The 25,642-nt window shown below is 43.2% G+C and overlaps 1 non-coding gene and 1 pseudogene across 1 annotated transcript, besides 2 other annotated features; both read right to left on the minus strand.

Annotated features, from left to right (window-relative positions):
* Window positions 6,839-7,612: an enhancer, noted in NCBI's record as "H3K4me1 hESC enhancer chr6:27610387-27611160 (GRCh37/hg19 assembly coordinates)". NCBI's record gives its function as "activates a minimal SCP1, AML or CMV promoter by ChIP-STARR-seq in naive H9 embryonic stem cells {active_cell/tissue: H9 hESC(naive)}" and the evidence as "EXISTENCE:reporter gene assay evidence [ECO:0000049][PMID:30033119]".
* Window positions 15,021-15,315: an enhancer, noted in NCBI's record as "tiled region #3569; HepG2 Activating DNase matched - State 12:CtcfO, and K562 Activating DNase unmatched - State 1:Tss". NCBI's record gives its function as "activates a minimal TATA promoter and a strong SV40 promoter by Sharpr-MPRA in HepG2 and K562 cells {active_cell/tissue: HepG2 | K562}" and the evidence as "EXISTENCE:reporter gene assay evidence [ECO:0000049][PMID:27701403]".
* On the minus strand, window positions 15,159-15,231 carry TRV-AAC3-1 (tRNA-Val (anticodon AAC) 3-1). The gene has a single exon. It is a non-coding gene; the product is annotated as a tRNA-Val (tRNA).
* Window positions 16,822-16,964, minus strand: RPL8P1 (ribosomal protein L8 pseudogene 1; annotated as a pseudogene).

A 25,642-nucleotide genomic window follows, 5' to 3' on the forward strand; every position in this document is an offset into this window, starting at 1 on the left:
GTCACTTTAATAGTAGACACCTGGTGAGGCTACGCATGCATCTTTCATTGCAGGTCAGCCACTTGCATGGTAAGAGCTTGTGTCTGTTTTTCCACAATGTCAGCTCTTTCTCTACAGGAGATAAGACTCTCACTCAGGGCAATCTTAGCAGATTTGAGGCTCAGTATCTGCTTCTGAAGCCGGGAGACAGAATCCTTGAGTTCATCATTTTCTTTCATCACTTTGTCCACTGAACTTAGAAGCAACCAACCAGTCTCATTATGTTCCTTGGTTCTCCACATATGGTCAAAGGTATTACGTATAAAGTCGCTAAACTTGCTTCTCAGGAGTGGTGAATCAGGAGTGTCAAATGTATTTATTTTGCATAACTGTCTAAACAGTTCATGCCAAGGACTACCAGTGTTCGCCATACTATCAGAAGTAGAGTCCTTAGCATTTCTGGGCTGAACCATATTAAGCAGCCAACTCCAGAAACTCCAAAACCAATGAAAGAACTCCATCCTTAATATTCTGTTCCTCTAGAACCACTCCTGGTACAAAAATCTGTATTAGTCAGGGTTCTCCAGAGGGACAGAACTTTTTGTTTTCCCCTTTTCTTCTCTTTGTTTGCCTCCATTTCTTCCAGTGGTGATCACTTGCTTATCCTTCAGGTTATGGTGGGAACTTCACATCCAACAGTTTGGATCAGACACACTCCTGTGAGCTTCATCTGTTGTGCTAGGTACTTGATATGTTATTTCAATCTTCTTTTTACTTCACTCTCTCATCTATTGGATCATGAGCTCTTTGGTGGGGAAGAAAAAGATGATATCTTAATTGTGTTTGTTTCTTAAGTACCAAGCTCAATTTCTGACTCTGAATGGATTGTAACTCTCAGAATTCTCTCTACCTGTGATATCAGGAAGTGTTTGCACCCTTTATACCAGGTGTCCCAACCCTGGGCGGCGGAGTGGTGCTGGTCCATGGCCTGTTACACAGCAGGAGATGAGTGGCGGTTGAGCATTACTGCCTGAGCTCTGCCTCCTGTCAGGTCAGCCGGGGCATTAGATTCTCATAGAAGTGCCAACTCAATTGTGAACTGTGCATGCAAGGGATCTAGGTTGCAGGCTCCTTATGCGAATCTAATGCCTGATGATCTGAGGTGGAACAGTTTCATCCCAGAACCATACCCCACCCCCGCCCCCTACAGGCTGTGAAAACATTGTCTTCCACTAAACTGGTCCTTGATGCCAAAAAGGTTGGGGACCACTGCTTTACATCTTTTGTCTCCCCCATTTTCACCTCTTAGGATGAACATTAATTTTATTTATTTTTATTTTTTATTTTATTTTTTTTTTTGAGACGGAGTCTTGCTCTGTCGCCCAGGCTGGAGTACAGTGGCATGACCTCAGCTCACTGCAAGCTCCACTTCCCGGGTTCACACCGTTCTCCTGTCTCAGCCTCCCAAGTAGCTGGGACTGCAGGCGCTCGCCACCACGCCCGGATAATTTTTTTGTATTTTTAGTAGAGACAAGGTTTCACCATGTTAGCCAGGATGGTCTCGATCTCCTGACCTTGTGATCCGCCCACCTCGGCCTCCCAAAGTGCTGGGATTACAGGCGTGAGTCACCACACCCGGCCAATTTTATTTATTTTTAGCAAACTAAAGGTTAAGCATAGGTACTGAGAAATAAATATTAAAGGAGAGTGTTGTCTATCGTGTAGGTTCTCACTGAAGACTGTGAAGGTCAAAGGTCAGAGAAGGGGCTTCCTCCTGCAGATAATAAAGTAGCAGTAGCCGCGCTGTCTCCAGTTCTTCTCTGCACCTAGAATGCTCTTCATCTTGTCTACACAACAGATTTCTACTCATTTTTCATAGTCCGGGGGGAAAAAAATCAATGAATTCTTGTTTTTTACTATAAGATACTTCAGGTGGCTCACACTTGTAATCCCAGTGCTTTGGGAGGCCTAGATTGGAGGATCCCTTGAGCCCAGGAGTTTGAGACCAGCCTGAGCAACACAGGGAGACCCCATCTCTACAAAAACTAAATTAATTAATTGGGCATGTCTCAGCTACTCAGGAGGCTGAGGTGGGAGGATCCCTCGAGCCCAGAAGGTCAAGGCTGCAGTGAGCTATGATCACTCTCACTGCACTCCAGCCTGAACAACAAAGTGAGACTCTGTCTCAAAGAAAAAAACAACAACAACAACTTCATTACACTTAATTCACATTTATCTCACTGTAAAAAAAGATATATTTATATATAGAACTGCCTTTCCTACTAGTTTGCTTATCAAGAAGAATGTAACCATATCAGATTCGTTACCCAGTGCATGGCAAATCAATACACTGAGACATGAGATTGCAGCAGAGGAATAGGTTTAATCATGGACAGCCCAACAAGGAGATGGAGGAAAACCTCAAATCTGCCTCCCTGAGGAGTTTGAAGTAGGGATTTTAAGGGATTTGGAGTGGATCAAGGAGTGGGGATCGTTGATTGGCCCAAGAGTGTTGGGTGGGACAGGCGTGGTGGTTCAGGCCTGTAATCCTAGTGCTCTGGGAGGCTGAGGCAGAAGGATCATTTGAGGTCAGGAGTTCGAAACAAGCCTGGCCAACATGGTAAAACCCCTTCTCTACTAAAAAAAAAATACAAAAAAATTAGCCGGGTGTGGTGGCGGGTGCCTGTAATCCTAGCTACTCAGCAGGCTGAGGCAAGAGAATTGCTTGAACCCAGGAGGCAGAGGTTGCAGTAAACCAAGACTGCGCCATTGCGCTCCAGCCTGGGTGACAGAGCAAGACTCTGTCTCCAAAAAAAAAAAAAAAAAAAAAAAAAAAACGTGTAGGGTAAAGTCATGGGATGAGGAGATGAAAAAACTGCATTTTCTTTTTTTTTTTTTTTTAATTTTAGAAGGAGTCTCACTCTGTTGTCCAGGCTGGAGTGCAGCGGCACCATCTTGGCTCACTGCAACCTCTGCTTCCCAGGTTCAAGTGATTCTTCTGCTTCAGCCTCCTGAGTAGCTAGAATTACAGGCATGTGGCACCATGGCCACCACGCCTAGCTAATTTTTGTATTTTTAGTACAGACGGGGTTTCACCATGTTGCCCAGGCTGGTCTCAAACTCCTGACCGCGAGTGATCCATCCACTTTGGCCTCCCAAAGTGCTGGGATTACAAGCATGAGCCACCGCACCTGGCCCTTTTTTGTAAAATTAAAAAATTGTTGCTGTCATTGTTAGAGAGAGAGTCTCCCTATGTTGCCCAGGCTGATCTTGAACTCCTGGCCTCAAGTGATCTTCCAATTTTGGCCTCCCAAAGTGCTGGGATTACAGGTGTGCACCACTGTGCTCTGCCTGAAACTGCATTTTCACACTGATTCAGTTCCTTTATGAATGTCAGCGCTAGTTGGTGTTGGCCTTTCTGCTGGAATTCAGGATCTGAAAAGCATCTTAAAAACGCTTATGATTTTCTGAGTGCAGTGGCTCACATCTGTAATCCCAGCACTTTGGGAGGCTGAGGCGGGTGGATCACAAGGTCAAGAGATCAAGACCATCCTGGCCAACATGGTGAAACCCCATCTCTACTTAAAAAAAAAAAAAAATACAAAAATTAGCTGGGCATGGTGGCGTGTGCCTGTAGTCCAAGCTACTCGGGACGCTGAGGCAGGAGAATCGCTTGAAGCCGGCAGCCAGAGGTTGCAGTGAGCTGAGAGCGGACCACTGCACCCCAGCCTGGGTGACAGAGTGAGACTCTGTCTCAAAACAAAAACAAAAACAAAACAAAACAAAAAAAAACCTTTCAAATAATTAGTCCAATGTAATGATACTTAGTAGATGCTCAAAAATATTCTTAGAAGGTCAAAACAGTACAGCGGAGTAAAGTCAGAACTATGGGGAGAGATAAGAAGAATAGAAAGGAAAGGAGGAAAAAATAAGGTGATTTGGATGTGGATGATGAGAAGGGGAAAAAAATGTAAAATGTATCTCTTTTTGGTTATTCCAGATGAGAATATTGGAAATTTTAAGCATTAAAAACTCCAAGGTTCTCCTAGATTTGGCATATACTCCTGCCAAATGAAAGATTGATATATATGCTTGGCTAACAACTAGAATTTGAAATGAGTTTGTTTTAGTCCCCATGTTGGGTAACATCTACTGTGAGATATCACACCACCACCAAAAGGGGCTAAGTATTCTACTTTTAAAATTTTTATCTTCATGTGAAAATGAATCCAATAATTTTTTTTTTTGAGACAGAGTGTCTCTCTGTCACCCAGGCTGGAGTGCAGTGGTGCGATCTCGGCTCACTGCAAGCTCTGCCCCCCGGGTTTACACCATTCTCCTGCCTCAGCCTCCCGAGTAGCTGGGACTACAGGTGCCCACCACCACGCCCGGATAATTTTTTGTATTTTTAGTAGAGACGGGGTTTCACCGTGTCAGGATGGTCTCGATCTCCTGACCTTGTGATCTGCCCGTCTCGGCCTCCCAAAGTGCTGGGATTACAGGTGTGAGCCACCGTGCCCGGCCAGAGTCCAATAATTTTTTAGATTATTTATGGAATATAATTTCAATAGTAGAAAAATTTTCTTTCTCCCTCTTTTTTTTTTTTTCCATTTTGATCTTCTGGATTTCTTTATTGTTTGTTTACTTTTGTTCACCCCTATTTCCATTTCTATTTCTGGTATAAACTGAGAAGATCTGTATCCTTAAAATGCTCCCCTAAGTGATTTTATCCAGAGCATAAATATAGTCTTTTCCATCTCTTGTCATTTCTAAACTGTATTTCATGTAATAGTTTGTTAATTCTTTAAAATTTTGCATAGATAATATGCATGGTTTAAAATATTTTTTGTGTAAAGCTTACCATTTTTCTTATATCCTAGCCACCCAGTTCTCCTCAGAACAGGCTATTGGTTTCTGTTATTAGTTTCCTAGAAAAGCAGAATTATTTATGTTCTGTTCTTTGTCAGATGTCATTCTAGATTAGTTTCTGAGGACGAGCCCATCTCTTCCTGTGTAATGAAAAGCTGGACCACCTAACAGTAGTGTTTTGTTTGTTTTAAGAGATAGCATTTCACTATGTTGCCCAGGCTGGATTCAAGCTCCTAGGCTGAAGGGATCCTCCTGCCTCCGCTTCTCAAGTAGCTAGGACTATAAGTGCCCACCACCCCGCTTGGGTATAGTGTATTTTTTTTTAAGATGAGGCTGGCCACACCCCATAACCTCGTCAGAAATACCAATCATGTGATTTGAATCATGCATTATCAGTCAACCTGAAGACTGAGTTCAAGCAAGACCCTGTCTCAACATAAGAAAAAAACAACACCATCAAAAGCATCCAAATTGGAAAGGAAGAAGTAAAATTGAGCCTGTTTGAAGATAACATGACTTTTTATAGAGACACTCCTAAAGACTCCATTAAAAAGAAGTGTTAATACTAATGAAAAAATTCAATATATTTGCAGAATATAAAATCAACATTCAGAAATCACTTGCATTACTATACAGTAACAATAAACTACATGAAATAATAAACAATAAACTACATAAAAAGAAAAATTAAAGGACAATCCCATTTATAGTAGCACCCCTCCCCCTTAAAAAAGAATTAAACTTAATCATGAAGGTGAAATGTTGTTAATGTTTGTTAAAATTTTCAGTGATGTACAATTAATGCAATCCGTATCCAAATCTATCTGGCAGTTTTTATGAAACAGAAAAAAAGACCATAAAATTCATATAAAACTCATATGAAACTACAAAGAACCCAAAGTCACCAAGTCAATCTTGAGAAAGAACAACAAAGCTGAAGACATCACACTTCCTGATTTCAGCATATACTACAGAGCTACAGTTATTAAAACAGTCTGGTACTAGCATAAAGACAGGTATATAAACCAAAATAACAGAATAGAGAGTCCAGAGATTAATCCATAAATATATGGCCAACTGATCTTTAACAAAGTTGCCAAGAACACACAATGGGAAAAAAACGATCTCTTCAACAAATGATGTTGAGAAAACTAGATATTCACATGAAAAAGAATGAAATTAGACCCTTGTTTACACCATTCACAAAAATTAACTAAAATGGATTAATGACTTAAATCTAAGATCTGCAAATATAAAACTCTGGGAGGAAAGCTTTAGGACATTGGTCTTGGCAATGATTTAATTACTATGACATCAAAATCATAGCCCAAAATAGCAAAAATAGAAAAATGGGATTACATCAAACAAAAGAGTTTCTTTTTCTTTGTTTGTTTGTTTTTTTTTGAGATGGAGTTTCGTTCTTGTTGCCCTGGCAGAAGTGCAATGGTGCAATCTTGGCTCACCGCAACCTCCACCTCACGGGTTCAAGTGATTCTCCTGCCTCAGACATGTGCCACCATACCCAGCTAATTTTGTATTTTTAGTAGATACAGAGTTTCTCCATGTTGGTCAGGTTGGTCTCAAACTCCCGACCTCAGATGATCCACCCACCTCGGCCTCCCGAAGTGCTGGTATTATAGGCCTTCTGCACAGCAAAAAAAAAAAAAAAAAGCAACCTATTAAATGGGAAAACAAATTTGCAAACCATATATCTGATAAGGGGTTAATTTCCAAGATACATAACTCTTACAATTCAGTAGTTAATCAAAACAAATAAAAACAAAAACCTGGTTAAAAATAAAAATGGGCCCGGTGTGGTGTCTCACACCTGTAATCCTAGCACTTTGGGAGGCTGAGGCGGGCAGATCACCTGAGATCGGGAGTTTGAGACCAGCCTGACCAACATGGAGAAAACCCGTCTCTACTAAAAATACAAAATTAGTTGGGCGTGGTGGCGCATGCCTGTAATCCCAGCTGCTCTGGAGGCTGAGGCAGGAGAATCACTTCAACCCCGGAGGCAGAGGTTGCAGTGAGCCAAGATTGCGCCATTGCACTCCAGCCTGGGAAACAAGAGCAAAATTCCGTCTCAAAAAACAATAATAGTAATAAAAATGTACTAAGGACTTGCATAGACATTTCTCCAAAGACGATATACAAATAGCCAACAACCATATGAAAAGACGCTCAATGTCACTAATCATCGAGGGAATGCAAATCAAACCAAAAGTGAGATATCATCTTATACCTGTTAGGATAACTATTATCAAAAAAACAAAAGACAAGTGTTGGTGAGTTCGTAGAGAAATTGGAACTTTCTACCCTGTTAATGAGATTGCGAAATGGTGCAGCCACTGTGGAAAACAGCATGAAGTTTCTTCAAAAAATTAAAAATAGAACTACCAGGCCGGGTGCAGTGGCTCATCCCTATAATCCCAGCACTTTGGGAGGCCAAGGTGCATGGATCATTTGAGGTCAGGAGTTCGACACCAGCCTGAGCAACATGGCGAAACCCCGTCTCTACTAAAAATACAAAATTAGCTGGTTGTGGTGGTGCCCAGCTGTAATCCCAGTCATTCGCGAAGCTAAGGCAGGAGAATCACTGGAAGCCAGGAGGCAGAGGTTGCAGTGAGCCAAGATTGCGTCACTGCCCTCCAGCCTGGGTGACAGAGCAAGACTGCATCTCAAAAAAAAAAAAAAAAAAAAAAAAAAAATAGAACTACCATATATGATTCAGCAACCCCACTTCTGGGTATATACCCAAAAAAATTGAATTCAGAATCTCAAGGACATATTAGCACACCTATGTTCCTTACAGCATTATTCACAATATCAAAGATGAGGAAGCAACCTAAATGTTCATCAGTGGAGGGATTAATATAGAAAATATGGTATATACATACAATGGAATATTATTCAGCCTTTAAAATAAAGGAAATTCTGGCCAGGCATGGTGGCTCACGCCTATAATTCCAGCACTTTGGGAGGCTGAGGTGGGAGGATCGCTTGAGCAATATAGTGAGAGCAAAAAATTAAAATATTAGCCAAGCATGGTGGTGTGCAGTCCTAGCTACTCAGGAGATTGAGGTGGGAGGATCATTTGAGCCCAGGAGGTTGAGGCTGTAGTGAGCCAACATCATACCATTGCACTCGATCCTGAAAGGCAAAGCAAGACCCTGTCTCAAAAGAAAAAAAAAAAAGGAAATTCTGCAACATGCAACAGCATGGATCAACTTTGAGGACATTATTGTAAGTGAAATGAGCTCCCACAAATGGACAAATACTGCTTGATTCCACTTGAGATGTCTGAAACAACCAAACTCGTTGAATCAGAAAGCAGAATGGTGGTTGCCTGTGGTTGGGGCAAGGGGAAAATGGGAATTTCATTTATGCAAGGTAAGTTCTAGAGATCTGCTGTACAACATTGTGCCTGTAGTTAACAATACTGTATTGTACTCTTAAATTTTTGTAGCCGGGCGTGGTCGCTCACGCCTGTAATCCCAGCACTTTGGGAGGCTGAGGTGGGTGGATCACCTGAGGTCAGGAGTTCAAGACCAGCCTGACAAACATGGAGAAACCCCTGTCTCTACTAAAAATACAAAATTAGCCTTGGCTTGGTGGCACATGCCTGTAATCCCAGCTACTGGAGAGGCTGAAGCAGGAGAATAGCTTGAACCTGGGAGGTGGAGGTTGTGGTGAGCCGAGATTGCGCCATTGCACTCCAGCCTGGGCAACAAGAGCAAAACTCCATCTCAAAAAAAAAAATTTTTTTTTTGTCAAGGGAGTAAATCTCATGGCAAGCTCTTTTTGCCTCAATACTTTTTTTAATCAAAAGAAAAATGGACTTACCTTTACTCTCTAGCAAAATATGTGATAATACTTGCACATTACATCAAATAACTACAACTTAAAATCTTTTCTTCCTCAATTCCAATAAATTCTGCTACTAGCCCCACAAATTAGGGCCCCACCAATCTAGTGTGTACAGGCACCACTGGAACTGCCAGAAAGGTTGGGCTCCCACCTCCAGCTCTAGACTGTCTTGAATTTCTGACCCCCCACCTCTGATTGACCTCAATTTCGAGTCCCAGGGGACTTCCCATTCCACCCACTAAGGAAGAGCTTTCTGACAGCGTAGGATGGCTCCTAGCAGCGACTGAGCGCCTAACTGATAGGACCTTATGGCTCGAGCACCTAACTGGTAGGCTGTTTTGGCTGGAAAGGCCAATCTGACTCCAGTAACTCTCCCTTTGTCCCAGAGAGATGCAGCCCACATTGACCCCTAGTAAAACCATCTGGAGCCGAAGAGATGTAGATCAAATGCAGCTATGAAGTAAGTCTCAGGATTGGAGGAATGGAGCAAACTGAAAAAGAAAGGGAGATCAGCAGAATCACATTAAGCAGAGCTTCTGAAGGGCAGATATTCCTGAAAATCCTGAAGGCAGAAACCTTGTCTTATCTCCATCTGCGACCCACCTCAAATCATGCTTCCACCCCTCCCCCAGAAAAACACAACCTTCACGGAAGAGTTTTGAAAAGATTTCCGGCAAGAAAATAATGTTACCAGAGACCGTTGAGGTCTTTTGTCTGGTCACCACTGGTTAAAATAAAGAAATCAGTAAACTTTTTATTGCTGTCAAAACATATGCTCATGTGCTCATTGGCCATTAACATATTCTGCTTTGGAAGTGCCTGTTCAGGTTTTTTGCTCATAACTCTAAAAGTGAAAGATAAATAAAGTTATGAGGGGGATAAAAAAGAATTGAATATTTATGTGAGCTTGGGGAAAGAAAAATTTCTTAGGGAGACACAAAAATAACTAAACCAAAGTTAAATAAATTGGACTTCATAAAAATTAACAATTTCTTCTTCTAATTATTATTTTTGAGACGGAGTCTTGCTGGGTTGCCCAGGCTGCAGTACAGTGGTGCGATCTCGGCTCACTGTAGCCTCTACCTCCCAGGTTCAAGCAGTTCTCCCGCCTCAGCCTCCCAAGTAGCTGGGATTATAGACATGTGCCACCAAAATTAACAATTTCATCACAAGAGATCATTAAACTGTTTCCCAGACTCAAGTGACAAGAAGATATATGCAATACAAATATCTGGCAAAGAACTCTTAAGTGATATATATGGATCAATGATAAAAAGATAGCACAATGAAATGTGCGCAGATGTGATTCAAAGGGAAGCTCTGCCAGGCGTGGTGGCTCATGCCTGTAATCCCAACACTCTGAGAGGCTGAGGCGGGAGGATCTCTTGAGCCCTTGAGTTCGAGACCAGCCTGGGCAATATAGTGAGACATTCCTTCCCCCGCCTTCAACAAAACATTAAAATTTTAGCCTGGCATGGTGGCATGAGCTTGTGGTCCCAGCTACTCTGGGGGCTGAGGTGGGAGAATTGCTTGAGCCCGGGGAGTCCAGGCAGCCGTGAGCCCTGATTGTGCCACTACACTCCAGCTTGGGCGACAGAGTGAGACCCTGTCTCAAAAACAAAAAGAAAACAAACAAAAAAACCCAAACAAACAAACAACAAACCCCAAAGGGAGTTCTGCTCCGTTTGATAAACCTTGAGAGCCTCACTCTTTCCTAATTGTGAAGAGTGGCGAACCAGGTAGGTGGGACCTGTGCCACCTGCGCCTCAGCCCAGGTCAGAAGCTGCGCAACTGTAGAGACCAAAGTTAGGGCCCCACAGCGATACTAGTTTTGCAACAATGTTCAGTGTTCACCTTTGGTGTTGACGTTTGTGTTGACGACTGGAGTCGAGTTTAGTGAAAGAAGAATTAACTAAGCTAAAGTGGAGAGAGAAGAAAAAAAACAATACTGGCAGGATATATTTCTGCCCAGTTTCAGGAGAGGATTTTTCTTGTGTGTGGCAAACGTGAGAACCACTACTCTGTGGAAACTACCGTACACCCAAGAGTCACCTCTAAAAATTAAAATGGAGGTTTCTTGGATGTCCTGTATTTAGTATTGTGAAATGTATTTTTTCCTTTAGAGCATTTTCATATTTGAGGCAAGTTTTTCCTTTCCTTGTATCTTCCATTTATCAAAACCAGCAATACCAAAACTCCACAACCCAAGACCCAGGAAGGGGTTTCCCCAGTGACCCAAATACTTCACAAATGCTGGGCCAGGTGAAGAAGGAAAGGTATTTTGACAGAGGAAATTTTTTTTTTTTTTTTTTTTTTTTTTTTTGAGACGGAGTCTCGCTCTGTCGCCTAGGCTGGAGTGCAGTGGTGCGATCTCGGCTCACTGCAACCTCCGCCTCCCGAGTTCAAGCAATTCTCCCAGATTCAAGCAATTCTCCTGTCGCAGCCTCCTGAGTAGCTGGGACTACAGGCACACGCCACCATGCCCAGCTAATTTTCGTGGAGTTTTTTTAGTAGAGGTGGCTTTTCGCTGTATTGGTCAGGCTGGTCTCGAACTCCTGACCTCAGGCGATCCACCTGTCTCGGCCTCCCAAAGTGCTGGGATTACAGGCATGAGACACCGCGCCGGACCGAGCAGAGGAAACTTTTAAAGTTGACTGACTTCTTTGCTATTAATAAACTTTAAACTTTTTTTTTTGCCTTTATGAAACCACTGCAAAATTATAACTGAGACAGTGAAAGAGATCTGACCTAACCATCTTTCTTCTAACCTCCAAGCTGTCCTTGTTCATTCCTGGATGTAGGCTGAACTAACTTTGGGAGGAACTTAGTTTATAGTTTATAGTTGTTTATAGTTTAGAACAAAGACCATAACGGCTTTTTCCCAAAAGAAACTCCCTTCTTGCCTGGGGACCAGTCGCCTGTGTAGGACTAACAAATTAGCTACAAGATTACAAATTATGGTTTAGGGGTCCGTCATGCATCCTCTGGCTGCAAGAATCTGAAGCTCCCCATATTGCTCCTGGGGATAACATCACTACTGTAAAACCTAATATCGGTGCTTGAGATATTTTGCAGACCCTACATTTGATGGATCAGCTACCACCACCCAGTTCTGCAATCCCACCCAGGAGCAGAAGACAGCAAGAAAACCTCACTTCGACCCCTGCTATAATTCCATCTCCAACCCGACCAATCAGCAAGCCCCTTACCCGCTAAATTATTTTTTAATTAATTTATTTATTTTTGTTTGTTTGAGACCAACTGTCGCTCTTGTTGCCCAGGCTGGAGTGCAATGGCACAATCTCGGCACAGTGAAACCTCCGCCTCCCGGGTTCAAGCGATTCTCCTGCCTCAGCCTCCCGAGTAGCTGGGATTACAGGCTCCCCTCCCGCCACTAAGCCCAGCTAATGTTTGTATTTTTAGTAGAAATGGGATTTCACCATGTTGGCCAGGCTGGTCTCCAACTCCTGACCTCAGATAATCTGCAAACCTTGGCCTCCCAAAGTCCTGGGATTACAGGTATGAGCCACCGCGCTCGACGCTAAATTATCTTTTAAAATTACCATCCCCCAGTGCTCCAATGCTCAGGGAGACGGATTTGAGAAATAATAAAACTCCGTTCTCCCACGCAGCTGGCTCTGAGTGAATTACTTTCTCCATTGCAATTTCCCTGTCTTGATAAATTGGCTCTGTCTAGGCAGCAGGCAAGGTGAACTCGTTGGGCAATTACATTTAGTGACCTGAAAAATTTTTTTTTAATAATCTCAATATTTTGTGATTTGGTCATTTCAGAGTAATGCAGCATTTCAGAGTAAAGCAGGAAAACCTGTTTCATAGAATCTTATAACAAATTCTTCTGCATGCGAGGAAGATCAGTGAATTTCTCAGTAATTCTGTTCCTAGAAAAAGCCTGGGCCCCAACTGTGGATGTTCCATTAGTGCAGACTCTATGCCTTTCTTCTTAGTTTGGTACAGTTTCAGATACAATAGTCCCTTTACTCATGGGGGATATATTCCAAGACCCCTAGTGGATGCTTGAGACTGCTGATAGTACTAAACCCTATAATAACTGTTTTTTTCTTCTATACACGCTGTGAAAGGAAAATAAATCTTAGAACCCTAAAATCACTAAGTCAACAGAAAAGTCAAGTTGGGAACTACACGCAAAACTGCCTCTCATTTTATTCCTAAACAAGATAGCTAAAAAGATAAAAGAGCCACACACCTCCCTCACAATTTGCCCACAAGGAAATTCCTTGTGGGCTTTAAGGTATTTATCCTAAAACAATTCTGTTGAATTTCACCCTGGCAATGTAAACTAATAGCTTACCTTCACAGGTGTGGGACAGAAAGTCATCCCTCTGGCCGGGTGCGGTTGTTCACGCCTATAATCCCAGCACTTTGGGAAGCCAAGGTGGGTGGATCACCTCAGGTCAGGAGTTCGAGACCAGCCTGGCCAACATGGCAAAACCCTGTCTCTGCTAAAAATACAAAAATTAGCCAGGCGTAGTGGCATGCGCCTGTAATCCTAGCTACTGAGGAGGCTGAGACAGGAGAATCGCTTGAACCCAGGAGGCGGAGGTTGTTGCAGTGAGCCAAGATCGCACCACTGCACTTTAGTCTGGGTGACAGAGTGAGACTCTGTCTCAAAAAAAAAAAAAAAAAAAAAAAAACTGTCCTCCCTCTGCTCACCTGAGACAAATGCATATCTGATTGTTTCCTCTGCCTTATTGTTTATGTAAAAATGCAGATTCACGGAGCCAGACTAAATTGTGTATTCAGTGAAAGGTTGATCAAGGACTTAAAGGAATGCAACCTTTGTCTTTTGTGTCTTTTCTGCCTGTGACCTGGAAGACCCCACCACCACTTTGAGTTGTCCAGTCCTACTGGATTGAACCAATGTACATCTTACACATACTGATTGATGTCTCATGTCTCCTTAAAATGTATAAAAGCAAGCTGTACCCTGACCACCTTGGGCACAGGTCGTCAGGACCTCCTGAGCCTGTGTAACAGGCGTATCCTTAACCTTAGCAAAATAAACTCTCTAAATTGGTTGGGATCTGTCTCAGATATTTTGGGTTTACAACACATACCTATAATGGTTTAATTGATAAAATAGCCAGGGTAAATAACAGCAACTAATAATAAAATATAACAATTATAACAATATACTGTAATGAAAGTTACATGAATGTGGTCCTCCTCTTTTTCCCTATATCAAGCTTTTTTTTTTTTTATTGTTGCTCTTTGGTTTTGTTGTTAAAACAAGTAATTTACAACCATTTGGTTGGAGAGTTTATTAAAAAACTCAGTGAGGCACTACAGGTAGATTACAGAAGGTGGATATTAGGAGTTAGGGAATCATCTGCTTTATTACAGTGAAATTTAAAGTGACAATGCTGGTTTAGCACACTTTTTTTTTTTTTTGGCAGAGTCTCACTCTGTTGCCCAGGCTGGAGTGCAGTGGCACAATCTTGGCTCACTACAACCTCCTCCTCCAAGATTCAAGCAATTCTCATACCTCAGCCTCCCAAGTAGCTGGGACTACAGGTGCGTGCCACCACGCCCAGCTAATTTTTGTAATTTTGTAGAGATGGGGGTTTCGCCATGTTGGCCAAGCTGGTCTTGAACTCCTGACCTCAAGTAATCCACCCGCCTCGGCCTCCCAGAGTGTTGGGATTACAGACCTGAGCCACTGTGGCGTCCAGCCTAGCACACTCTTAAGTTTAAGAAAGAAATCAGTTTCTCTGTTATTGATCAGTTCAGTTGATTGGCACATCTTACCAATAATGCCGACATCTGGCATTGAGTACCCATAGAGGCCAGGCCAGTATCTAATTTTTTATTATTTATTGATTTATTTATTTTAACACTTAACAGTTTCTAAGTATCCACTTGAAATTGCCTCTTACCTATTTTGTGAAAAATTCTCTCTGCACTTAGGGGTAAAGGGCAGACAATAGAATATTAGTTATTCACTTGGCTCAAAGCATGGCCCTGTTTCTTTTTTTATTTTTTTCTCACGGGTCTGTGTCCTAAGCATTGCTTATTTTTAGAAACTCCTGAGGAAAATCTCTTTGCGAAGAACCTGCACAAGTGGCTTTGGAAATTTCAAGGAAGCCAGTCTCGCCTGCACAGTATAGCGGGGTCCTGCACCACGAGAGCTTGCTTTGGGCCCTAGAACCTACAGGCCATGCAGAGCATAAGGGGAGGGAGCTGGGACAGCGACATGCTGGGGCGCGGGAAGATGGGGCGATGTGGGCCTCGCCGCGGCTCAGGACAAAGGAGGGAGCAAAAATGTTCCTGAGGTGGCTCAAATAAAAAAAAAGGAAGATATAAGATCCTTTGATTTAGGTGCTTGTTCATATACAAAAGTCCTATCTGGTTCAAATAGAGACTCTCAGGATCAGGAACAAGACGTAAGAAGGGTAACCACTTGTTTCCGCCTGGTTTTGATCCAGGGACCTTTCGCGTGTTAGGCGAACGTGATAACCACTACACTACGGAAACAACCCTGCTGGTGGGAGTGAGAATTGAAGCACCTAGGGTGAGACAATCCAGGTTTGGCTGTAGAAAATCTATATTTTTTACTCAGATTTTTTTTTTCTGGTAGTTTCTTTCCATATCTTTCAGACTTTCCACTTATTGAAATCAAAGATATCACATCCTGACAGTTGTTATTTGCCTACCACAAATTGGTACATATATTCACCAAATATATTTACCAGAATGCCCAGTAACCTATTCAGAATAATAAAAACTACTGGAAACTTCCCAAGCACCCATCAGCAGATGCAGGAATGAACTCACATGAAATAATCTATTGCAACAAGAATGAACAATCTACAACTATGTGGATGAATCTCACAGAGATGTCGACTAAAGTAAACCAGACAGAAAAGGACGTACTCTGTGGCTCCACTGATTTAAATTATAAAGCAGGCAACATTCCGCTGTCCAGCCAGAAGTCACAATAGTACTTCCATCTGGGGAGAGTGGGTCGTAACTGAAAAGGAACTGGAAATGCTCTGGTTTCCCAGGTGTGTTCCTTTTGTGTGTACTGAAGGGGTGTGTGTGTGTGTGTGTGTGTGTGTGCCTGTAAGAGGCGGGGAGGGTGGGAGAGAGAGGCGGAGACAGAGAAGGAGGGAGGGAGAGGGAGAGAGAGGGAGAGAGAGGGAGAGATTGAGAGAGAGGTGCACAGGAATAGACGGATAAATTGAAGAAGTAATACGCTTATGCAATTGTGGAGACTGGTTAGAAAGTGCTAAATCCATAGGGCAGGCTGTAATAAAAGGCCATCAGAAAAGGCAGGCTGAAAACAATACAGACGATTCAATAAAACCAGAAGTTCTTTGAAAAGTTGTCTACATTGTCTATATTGTCAGCAAACTTGACTTTTAGCTAGACTGACTAAGGAAAAACAAAAAAAAGACAAGAGACTCAAATTATTAAAATTGGAAGCGAAAGCGGTGATATTATCACTGAATTTACAAAAATAAAAAGAATTATAAGAGTACACTATGAAAAATTGTATGCCAGCAAATTGGATGACCTAGATTAAATGAACAAACTCCTAGTAACACACAATCTACAAAGATTGAATCATAGAGAATTATAAATCTGAATAGACCTATAACTAGTAAGGATATTGAAGCAGTAATCAAAAACCTACCGTGAAAAAAAGCCCTGGACCAGCTGGCTTAACTGATGAATTCTATCAAACATTTAAATACTTAAGCAGTCCATCTCACACTTTTCCACAAAACTGAAGAGTAGGAAACACTTCCTAACTCATTTTATGAAGCTAGCATTATTCTGATACCAAAGCCAGACAAAGCCATTACAAAAAAGAAAGCTACAGGCCAATATTTTTTTATGAATATTGATGCTAAATTCCTCAACAAAATACTGGCAAACTAAATTCAACAACATATTAAAAGGATTATACACCATAGCAAAGTAGGATTTATTCCTGAAATGGAAGGATTCAGCATATAAAACAAGTAATTAATATAATGTATACATAAACAGAATGAAAGAAAAAACACAGTTCTTTGCATTAATGCAAAAAAGCATTTGACAAACTTCAAACACCTTCATGATGATGAAGGGCTTGCCAATGTGCTGGGGGTTGCCACCTTCAAAAGGATGCTCCACAGGGTTCATGGCCACACCCCGTACTCGTGGCCTACAGTTCCTCTTTGCCTTATATTTGTGGTAGGCCCGGCCAGCCTTCAAGATGGATGCCCCTGCTGGCCGCAAAGTGGGTCTCATTGCTCCCCGCCGGACTGGACGTCTCCGGGGAACGAAGACTGTGCAGGAGAAAGAGAGCTAGTGCTGAGGGGCTCAATAAAGTTTGTCTTTATGCAAAAATAAAAGAAAAGCCCCTGTCCCTCTGCCTCTGCCCCTGCCCCTGCCTCTGCCTCTGCCACTGCCTCTCCACGGTCTCCCTCTGATGCCGACCCAAGGCTGGACTGTACTGCAACCATCTCGACTCACTGCAACCTCCCTGCCTGATTCTCCTGCCTCAGCCTGCCGAGTGCCTGGGATTGCAGGCGCGCGCCGCCACGCCTGACTGGTTTTCGTATTTTTTGGTGGAGACGGGGTTTCGCCGTGCTGGCCGGGCTGGTCTCCAGCTCCTGACCGCGAGTGATCTGCCAGCCTCGGCCTCCCGAGGTGCCGGGATTGCAGACGGAGTCTCGCTCACTCAGTGCTCAGTGTTGCCCAGGCTGGACTGCAGTGGCGTGATCTCGGCTCGCTACAACCTCCACCTCCCAGCCGCCTGTCTTGGCCTCCCAAAGTGCCGAGTTTGCAGCCTCTGCCCGGCCGCCACCCCGTCTAGGAAGTGAGGAGCGTCTCTGCCTGGCCGCCCATCGTCTGGGATGTGAGGAGCCCCTCTGCCCGGCCGCCCAGTCTGGGAAGTGCGGAGCGCCTCTTCCCTGCCGTCATCCCGTCTAGGAAGTGAGGAGCGTCTCTGCCCGGCCGCCCATCGTCTGGGATGTGGGGAGCGCCTCTGCCCCGCCGCCCCGTCCGAGATGTGAAGAGCGCCTCTGCCCGGCCGCGACCCCGTCTGGGAACTGAGGAGTGTCTCTGCCCCACCACCACCCCGTCTGGGAGGTGAGGAGCGTCTCTGACCGGCCGCCCCGCCTGAGAAGTGAGGAGCCCCTCCGCTCAACAGCCGCCCCGTCTGGGAAGTGAGGAGTGTCTCCGCCCGGCAGCCGCCCCGTCCGGGAGGTGGGGGGCAGCCCCCGCCCGGCCAGGCGCCTCGTCCGGGAGGTGGGGGGCAGCCCCCGCCCGGCCAGCCGCCCCGTCCGGGAGGTGGGTGGGGGGCGCCTCTGCCCGGCCGCCCCGTCTGGGAAGTGAGGAGCCCCTCTGCCCGGCCGCCACGCCGTCTGGGAGGTGTACCCAATAGCTCATTGAGAACGGGCCATGATGACGATGGCGGTTTTGTCGAATAGAAAAGGCGGAAATGTGGGGAAAACAGAGACCAGATTGTTACTGTGTCTGTGTAGAGAGAAGTAGACATAGGAGACTCCATTTTGTTCTGTACTAAGAAAAATTCTTCTGCCTTGGGATGCTGTTAATCTATAACCTTACCCCCAACCCCGTGCTCTCTGAAACATGTGCTGTGTCCACTAAGGGTTAAACGGATTAAGGGCGGTGCAAGATGTGCTTTGTTAAACAGATGCTTGAAGGCAGCATACTCGTTAAGAGTCATCACCACTCCCTAATCGCAAGTACCCAGGGACACAAACAGTGCGGAAGGCGGCAGGGCCCTCTGCCTAGGAAAACCAGAGACCTTTGTTCACATGTTTATCTGCTGACCTTCTCTCCACTATTGTCCTATGACCCTGCCAAATCCCCCTCTCCGAGAAACACCCAAGAATGATCAATGAATACTAAAAAAAAAAAGAAAAAGAAAAAAGAAAGAAAAAGAAAAAGAAGAACAAAGTTGGAGGCTTCATACTTCCTGACCTCAACATTTACTTTAAAGCTACAGTAATCAAAACAGTATGGTACTGGCATAAGGAGAGACATACAGACACAAGCGAATAGAGGGCCCAGAAATAAACTATGGCTTATATGGCCAACTGATTTGTGACAAGGGTGCCAGGGCCATTTAATGGAGAAAGAACAGACTTTTCAACAAATGGTGCTGGGAAAACTGGATATCTACATGCAAAAGAATGAAGTTGGATGTTTACCTTATAATACAGGGAAAAACTAACTTAAAAACAGATCAAAGACCTAAACATAGGTGCTAAAAACCTTAAAATTCTTAGATGAAAACATTGGAGAAAATCTTCATGACATATGGCAATGATTTTTTGGATATCATACCAAAAGCACAGAGAACAATGACAAAAATAGATAAATTAGACTTCATCAAATTGATAACATTTGTAGGCTGGGCACGGTGGCTCACTTCTGTAATCCCAGCACTTTGGGAGCCCAAGGCGGGTGGATCACCTGAGGTCAGGCGCTCAAGATCAGCCTGACCAATATGGTGACACCCCATCTCTACTAAAATTACAAAAATTAGCCAGGCGTGGTGTCGTGTGCCTGTAGTCCCAGCTACTTGGGAGGCTGAGGCAGGAGAATCACTTGAACCCGAGAGGCGGAGGTTCAAGTGAGCCAAGATCGTGCCACTGCACTCTAGCCTGGGCGACAGAGCGAGACTCTTGTCTCAAAAAATAAATAAATAAATAAATAATAAAAATAAAATAAAAACATTTATAGTCAGGACACTGTTTAGTCAGATTTTATTGAATTATTTATTGAATTAGGACACTATCAAAAGAGTGAAAAGACAATCCATGGAATAGAAGAAAATATTTGTGAAGCATATGTCTGACAAAGAATTAATATCCAGAATATGTAAAGAACTACTACAACTCAACAACAACAACACAACCCAGTTCAAATTGGGCAAAGGACTTGGATCATTTCTCCAAAGAAGATACAAGCACAAATAGCCAATAAGCACATAAAGAAATGCTCAACTTCACTAACCATTAGGAAAATGCGAATCAAAACCACAGTGAGATAGCATCTGAGGTCCCTTAGGATGGCTATTAGAAAAAAAGAAAAAGAAAACAAAAAGCAAAATAAATACCAGCAAGGATATGGAAAATTATTATTCTGGTGCATTGCTGGTGGGAATGTAAAATAGTACAGCCACTGTAGAAAACAGTATGGCAGTTTCTAAAAAAATTAAACATATTATTACCATACGGTCCAACAATTCCACTTCTAGGTGTTTATCTAAACGAATTGAAAGCAGAAGCTCAGCCGGGCCCTGTGGCTCACGCCTGTAATCCCAGCACTTTGGGAGGCCGAGGTGGGCAGATCACGAGGTCAGGAGAGTCAGGAGATCGAGACCATCCTGGCTAACATGGTGAAACCCCGTCTCTACTAAAAATACAAAAAAATTAGCCGGGCGTGGTGGCGGGCTTCTGTAGTCCCAGCTACTCGGGAGGCTGAGGCAGGAGAATGGCATGAACCCGGGTGGCGGAGCTTGCATTAACCCAAGATCAGGCCACTGCATTCCAGCCTGGGTGACAGAGCGAGACTCCGTCTCAAAAAAAAAAAAAAAAAAAAAAAGAAAGCAAAAGCTCAGATACTTGCACGCCAGTTGTTCCCAGCAGCATTATTCACAATAGTCAAAAGATGGGGCTGGGCATGCTGGGTCACATCTGTAATTCCAGCAGTTTGGGAGGCTGAGGCTGAAGGAACCCTTGAGGCAAGGAGTTCAAGACAGGATTGGGCAAAATGCAAGACCGCTACTTCTACAAAAAAAATTTAAAATTAGCTGCCATTGCACTCCAGCCTGGTGACAGTGTGAGACCTTTTCATCCCCTCCCCCCCAAAAAAGATAGATTTAACCCAATGTCCATTGACAGATAAATGTGTGATATATACATGCAATGGGATATACTTAAGCCTTAGAAAAAATGAAATTCTCATAAATACCATGACGTGAATGAACTTTGAGGACATTAAACTAAGTGAAAAAAGCCAAACAGGACAAGTATTGTATAATCCACTTCTATTAGATACATAAAAGCACAAGCAAAATTTATAGAGATAGACAATGGGTACCAAGGGCTGAAGGGGAGCAGATGGGGAGTTTTTGTTTAATGGTTATAGAGTTTCAGTTTGGGATGCTAAAAAAGTTCTGGAGATGGATGATGGTGATGGTTCCACCACACTGAATTTATTTAATTTTACCAAAATGTACTCTTAAAATGATAAAAATGGCAAATTTTATATTATGCATGTTTTACCACAATTTAAAAAATGCCATGGGGGAAAATATGCATAAGGATATAAAGTAAGTGATCTAGAAGAGAAATGTTAAAAATATACAAAACAAAAGCTAATCCTATGTTTAGTTTTTTACCTGGTGTGGCTATATTAACTTTACTATTTGTTTGTTTATTTTTATTTATTTATTTTTTGAGATGGAGTCTCACACCGTCACCCATACTGGAGTTTAGTGGCATGATCTCAGCTCACTGCAACTTCCATCTCCCAGGTTCAAGCGATTCTCCTGCCTCAGCCTCCAGAGTAGCTGGGATTCCAGGCGTGCACCACCATGCCCAGCTAATTTTTGTATTTTTAGTAGAGACAGGGTTTCACCATGTTGGCCAGCTGGGTTTCAAATTCCTGACATCAAGTGGTCCTCCTGCCTCCACCTCCCCAAGTTATAGGATCACACCTATAATCCAAAGTGGGATTATAGGTGTGAGCCACCACATCCGGCCAACATTTTTTAAAATGTAGAATTTAAGACAAGAAGCATTACCACAGAGATATTTCATAACAATAAGGTATGCATTTTATAGTAATAGGAGACATTTTATAAAAGAGAAACATAAACATTCTAAATGTGTATGCATCCAATAACATGGTTTCAAAATATATAGACCAAAAATGATGTGAAAACTTATGTCCACACAAAAATCTGTATACAATTGTTAATAGCAGCTTTATTTGTAATAGCAAAACACTGGAAAGCATCAAAATGTCTTTCAGTATGTGAATGGTTAAATAAACAGTTGTCCATCCATACCATGGAATACTCAACAATAAAAAGTCAGGAGCTATTGATATCATGAGTTGGACGGATCTTGAGGGAACTAGGCTGTGGAAAAGGCCAATCTTTAAAGGTCATCTATTATATGATTCTATTTCTATAACATTCTCAAAACAAAAAAGAATGGTAGAATTTTTGTCAAGGCCGGGCACAGTGGCTTACGTCTGTAATCCGAGAACTGTGGGAGGCCGAGGCGAGAGGATCACTTGAAGTCAGGAGTTTGAGACCAGCCTAGCCAACATGGTGAAACCTCATCTCTACTAAAAATAGAAAAAGTAGCCAGGCCTGGCAACTGACACCTGTAATCCCAGCTACTCGGGAGGCAGAGGCAGAGGCAGGAGAATCACTTGAACGCGGGAGGCAGAGGTTGCAGTGAGCCGAGATTGCACTCCAGCCTGGGTGACAGAGCGAGACTCTATCTTAAACAAAAAAAAAAAAAAGAATTTTTGTTAAGAGGAGAGGTAAGTTGGTATGACTAATTAAGGGGTGGCATTAACAGGGAGATATTTATGGTGCTGGAATTGTTTTAGTGTCTTGTTTCCAGTGTTAGGTACACAAACCTACACATGTGATAAAAATGATTTAGAACCATACACACATGTCATACCAATATTAAATTCCTGTGTTCGATATTGTGTTATATAAGAAGTAACCATTGGGCTGGCACATTGAGTGGCTCACCCATGTAATCCCAGCACTTTGGGAGGCTGAGATGGGTGGATCACCTGAGGTCAGGAATTTAAGATTAGCTAGGCCAACATGGCGAAACCTTGTCTCTACTTAAAATACAAAAATTAGCCTGGTGTGCTGGTGGGTGCCCGTAATCCCAGCTACTCCGGAGCCTGAGGCAGGAGAATCGCTTGAACCCAAGAGGGGAGGTTGCAGTGAGCCGAGATCACGCCACTGGACTCCCTCCTGGGCGACAGAGCGAGACTCCGTCTCAAAAAAAAAAAAAAAAAAAAAAAAAGAAGTAATCATTGTAGGAAACTGGGTTAAGGGTACAGGGGAGTTCTCTACTTTCTTTGTAACTCCTTGTTAATCTATAATAATTTCAAAATTAAAAGTTAAGATGACCTGATGGTTCACAGGAACTAAATAGTGAAAAGAAAAACAGGCTGGGCACGGTGGCTCACGCCTGTAATCCCAGCACTTTGGGAGGCCGAGGCGGGCGGATCATGAGGTCAGGAGATTGAGACCATCCTGGCTAACACGGTGAAACCCCCGTCTCTACTAAAAATACAAAAAATTAGCCGGGCGTGGTGACGGGCACCTGTAGTCCCAGCTACTCAGGAGGCTGAGGCAGGAGAATGGCGTGAACCCGGGAGGCGGAGCTAGCAGTGAGCCGAGACCGCGCTACTGCACTCCAGCCTGGGCAACAGAGTAAGACTCCGTCTCAAAAAAAAAAAAAAAAGAAAGAAAAAAAGAAAACAACAAAACCACGATGGAACTAAAAATAGGAAAATCCACACTCATGGCTGAAGGTTTTCCATACTTCCTGTGAGGTCACAGGGCAAACCACTGCCCCCAAAATTGGAGAGACAGAAAGGCAAATACGGAGTACTACAACTTACCAGACCGGAAACCCAAAGAGCAAAATCCTCCACCTGAATCAGTGCTAGAGGAGGGACACCTGAGCTGTAATTAAGAAACTGCTTGAGGCTTTCTGTGGACAAATCTCAGGGAAAAACCTCCAGCTACAAATTTGTGAATTTTATCTCAGGAGCTCAACCAAGTTCTCACAATGAGGGAGAAAAATCTCCTCTGGTAGCGGGTAGGGCAAGAACCAGTTTGCAACAGGCCAGATCATTCTGTTCTTTTTTTTTTTTTTTTTTTTTTTTTTAGGACGGAGTCTCGCTCTATCGCCCAGACTGGCGTGCAGCGGCGCGATCTCAGCTTACTGCAACCTCCGCCTCCTGGGTTTTAAGCAGTTCTCTCTGCCTCAGCCTCCTGAGCAGCTGGGATCACAGGCGCCTGCCACCACGCCCGGCTGATTTTTGTATCTTTAGTAGAGACGGGGTTTCGCCATGTTGGCCAAGCTGATCTTGAACTCCTGATCTCAGGTGATCCACCTGCCTCGGCCTCCCAAAGCGCTGGGATTACAGGCTTGAGCCACCGCGCCCGGCCCATTCTGTTCTTAACAAGGTCTGCCCTCAGAAGAAACCATTTAATCTCGATCTAACCTGCTGGGGTTTTATCAAGAGCCCGATGGATCTGCGGGAAGGGAAATAACCAACTCCAGCCCACTCTAGCCATCCAGTACCACCGAAAGTGGGGAAAAACCTAAAAAGCATGTTTAAAGCTCACAGTCCACTGATACAGGCTCACTAATAGACTGAGACCTACTTGTGGGACTACAGAATGCTTTTCTCCCTCCACACTTTGCCACCACATTACTAAAGGCCTGCTTATAGCAGCTCATTTTATCCAGCACAGCATGTCCTGCTATCAAGAAAAACATAAGATATAAAAAAAGACAAAATACACAGTTTAAAGAGAGAGAGCAAACATCAGAACCAGACTCGGATATGACAGGGATGTTGGAATTCTCAAACCAGGAATTTGAAACAACTGATTAAGATGCTAAGAATAAGATGACAGCATACAAGAACACATGGGCAATGTAAGCAGAGAGATGGAAATTCTAAGAAAGAACCAAAAAGACATGCTAGTGATCAAAAACACTATAACACCAAGACAATGAAAATACAAGCTGCAGACTGAGAGAAAATACATGCAAAAGACCTATCGGATAAAGTACTGTTATTCAAAATACACAAAGAGCTCTTAAAACTCATCAGTAAGAACACAAACAACCCCATGAAAAAATGGCCAAAGACCTTAACAGTCACTTCACCAAAGAAGATATACAGATGATTAATATGCATATGAAAAGATGGTCCACAGCATATGTTTAGGGAAATTCAAATTTTAAAAAAATGAGATAACACAACATACCTATTAAAATGGCCGAAATCCAGAACACTGACAACACCAAATGCTGATGAGGATGTGGAGCGACACCAACTCTCATTCATTGCTGGTGGAAATGCAAAATTGTACCATCTCTTTGAAAGACAATTTGGCAGTTTCTTTAAAAGCTAAATATACTTTTACCATAACATTCAGCAATTGCACTCCTTAATATTTACCCAAAGAATTAAAGAGCTTAAGTCCACAAAAAACCTGCACATGAGTGTTTATAACAACTTTATTCATAATTTTCAAAACTTGGAAGCAACCAAGCTGTCCTTCAATAGGTGAATAGATGAACAAACTGTGGTATATCCATACAATGAAATATTGTTCAATGACAAAAAGAAATCAGCTATAAAGTCATTAAAAGACATAGAGGAACTTTACATGCATTTTTTTTATTTTGTATTTTGTTGTTGTTGTTGTTGTTTTTGAGACAGAGTCTCTGTTGCCCAGGCTAGAGTGCAATGGCACGATCTCGGCTCACTGCAACCTCCACCTCCCGGGTTCAAGCTATTCTCATGTCTCAGCCTCCCTAGTAGCTGGGATTACAGGCGCCCACCACCGCGCCCAGCTAGTTTTTGTATTTTTAGTAGAGACGGGGTTTCACCATGTTGGTCAGGTTGGTCTCGAACTCCCGACCTCAGGTGATCCGCCCGCCTCGGCCTCCCCAAGTGCTGGGATTACAGGCGTGAGCCACGGCGCCTAGCTACGTGCATATTTTGTTTGTTTGTTTTTTGTCTTTTATTTTCAAGACGGAGTCTTGCTCTGTTGCCCAGGCTGGAATACAGTGGCACGATCTCGGCTCACTGCAACCTCTGCCTCCCGGGTTCAAGCAATTCTCCTGCC

The sequence above is a fragment of the Homo sapiens genome, chromosome 6 (assembly GCF_000001405.40).
Source record: "Homo sapiens chromosome 6, GRCh38.p14 Primary Assembly".
Taxonomy (NCBI): domain Eukaryota; kingdom Metazoa; phylum Chordata; class Mammalia; order Primates; family Hominidae; genus Homo; species Homo sapiens.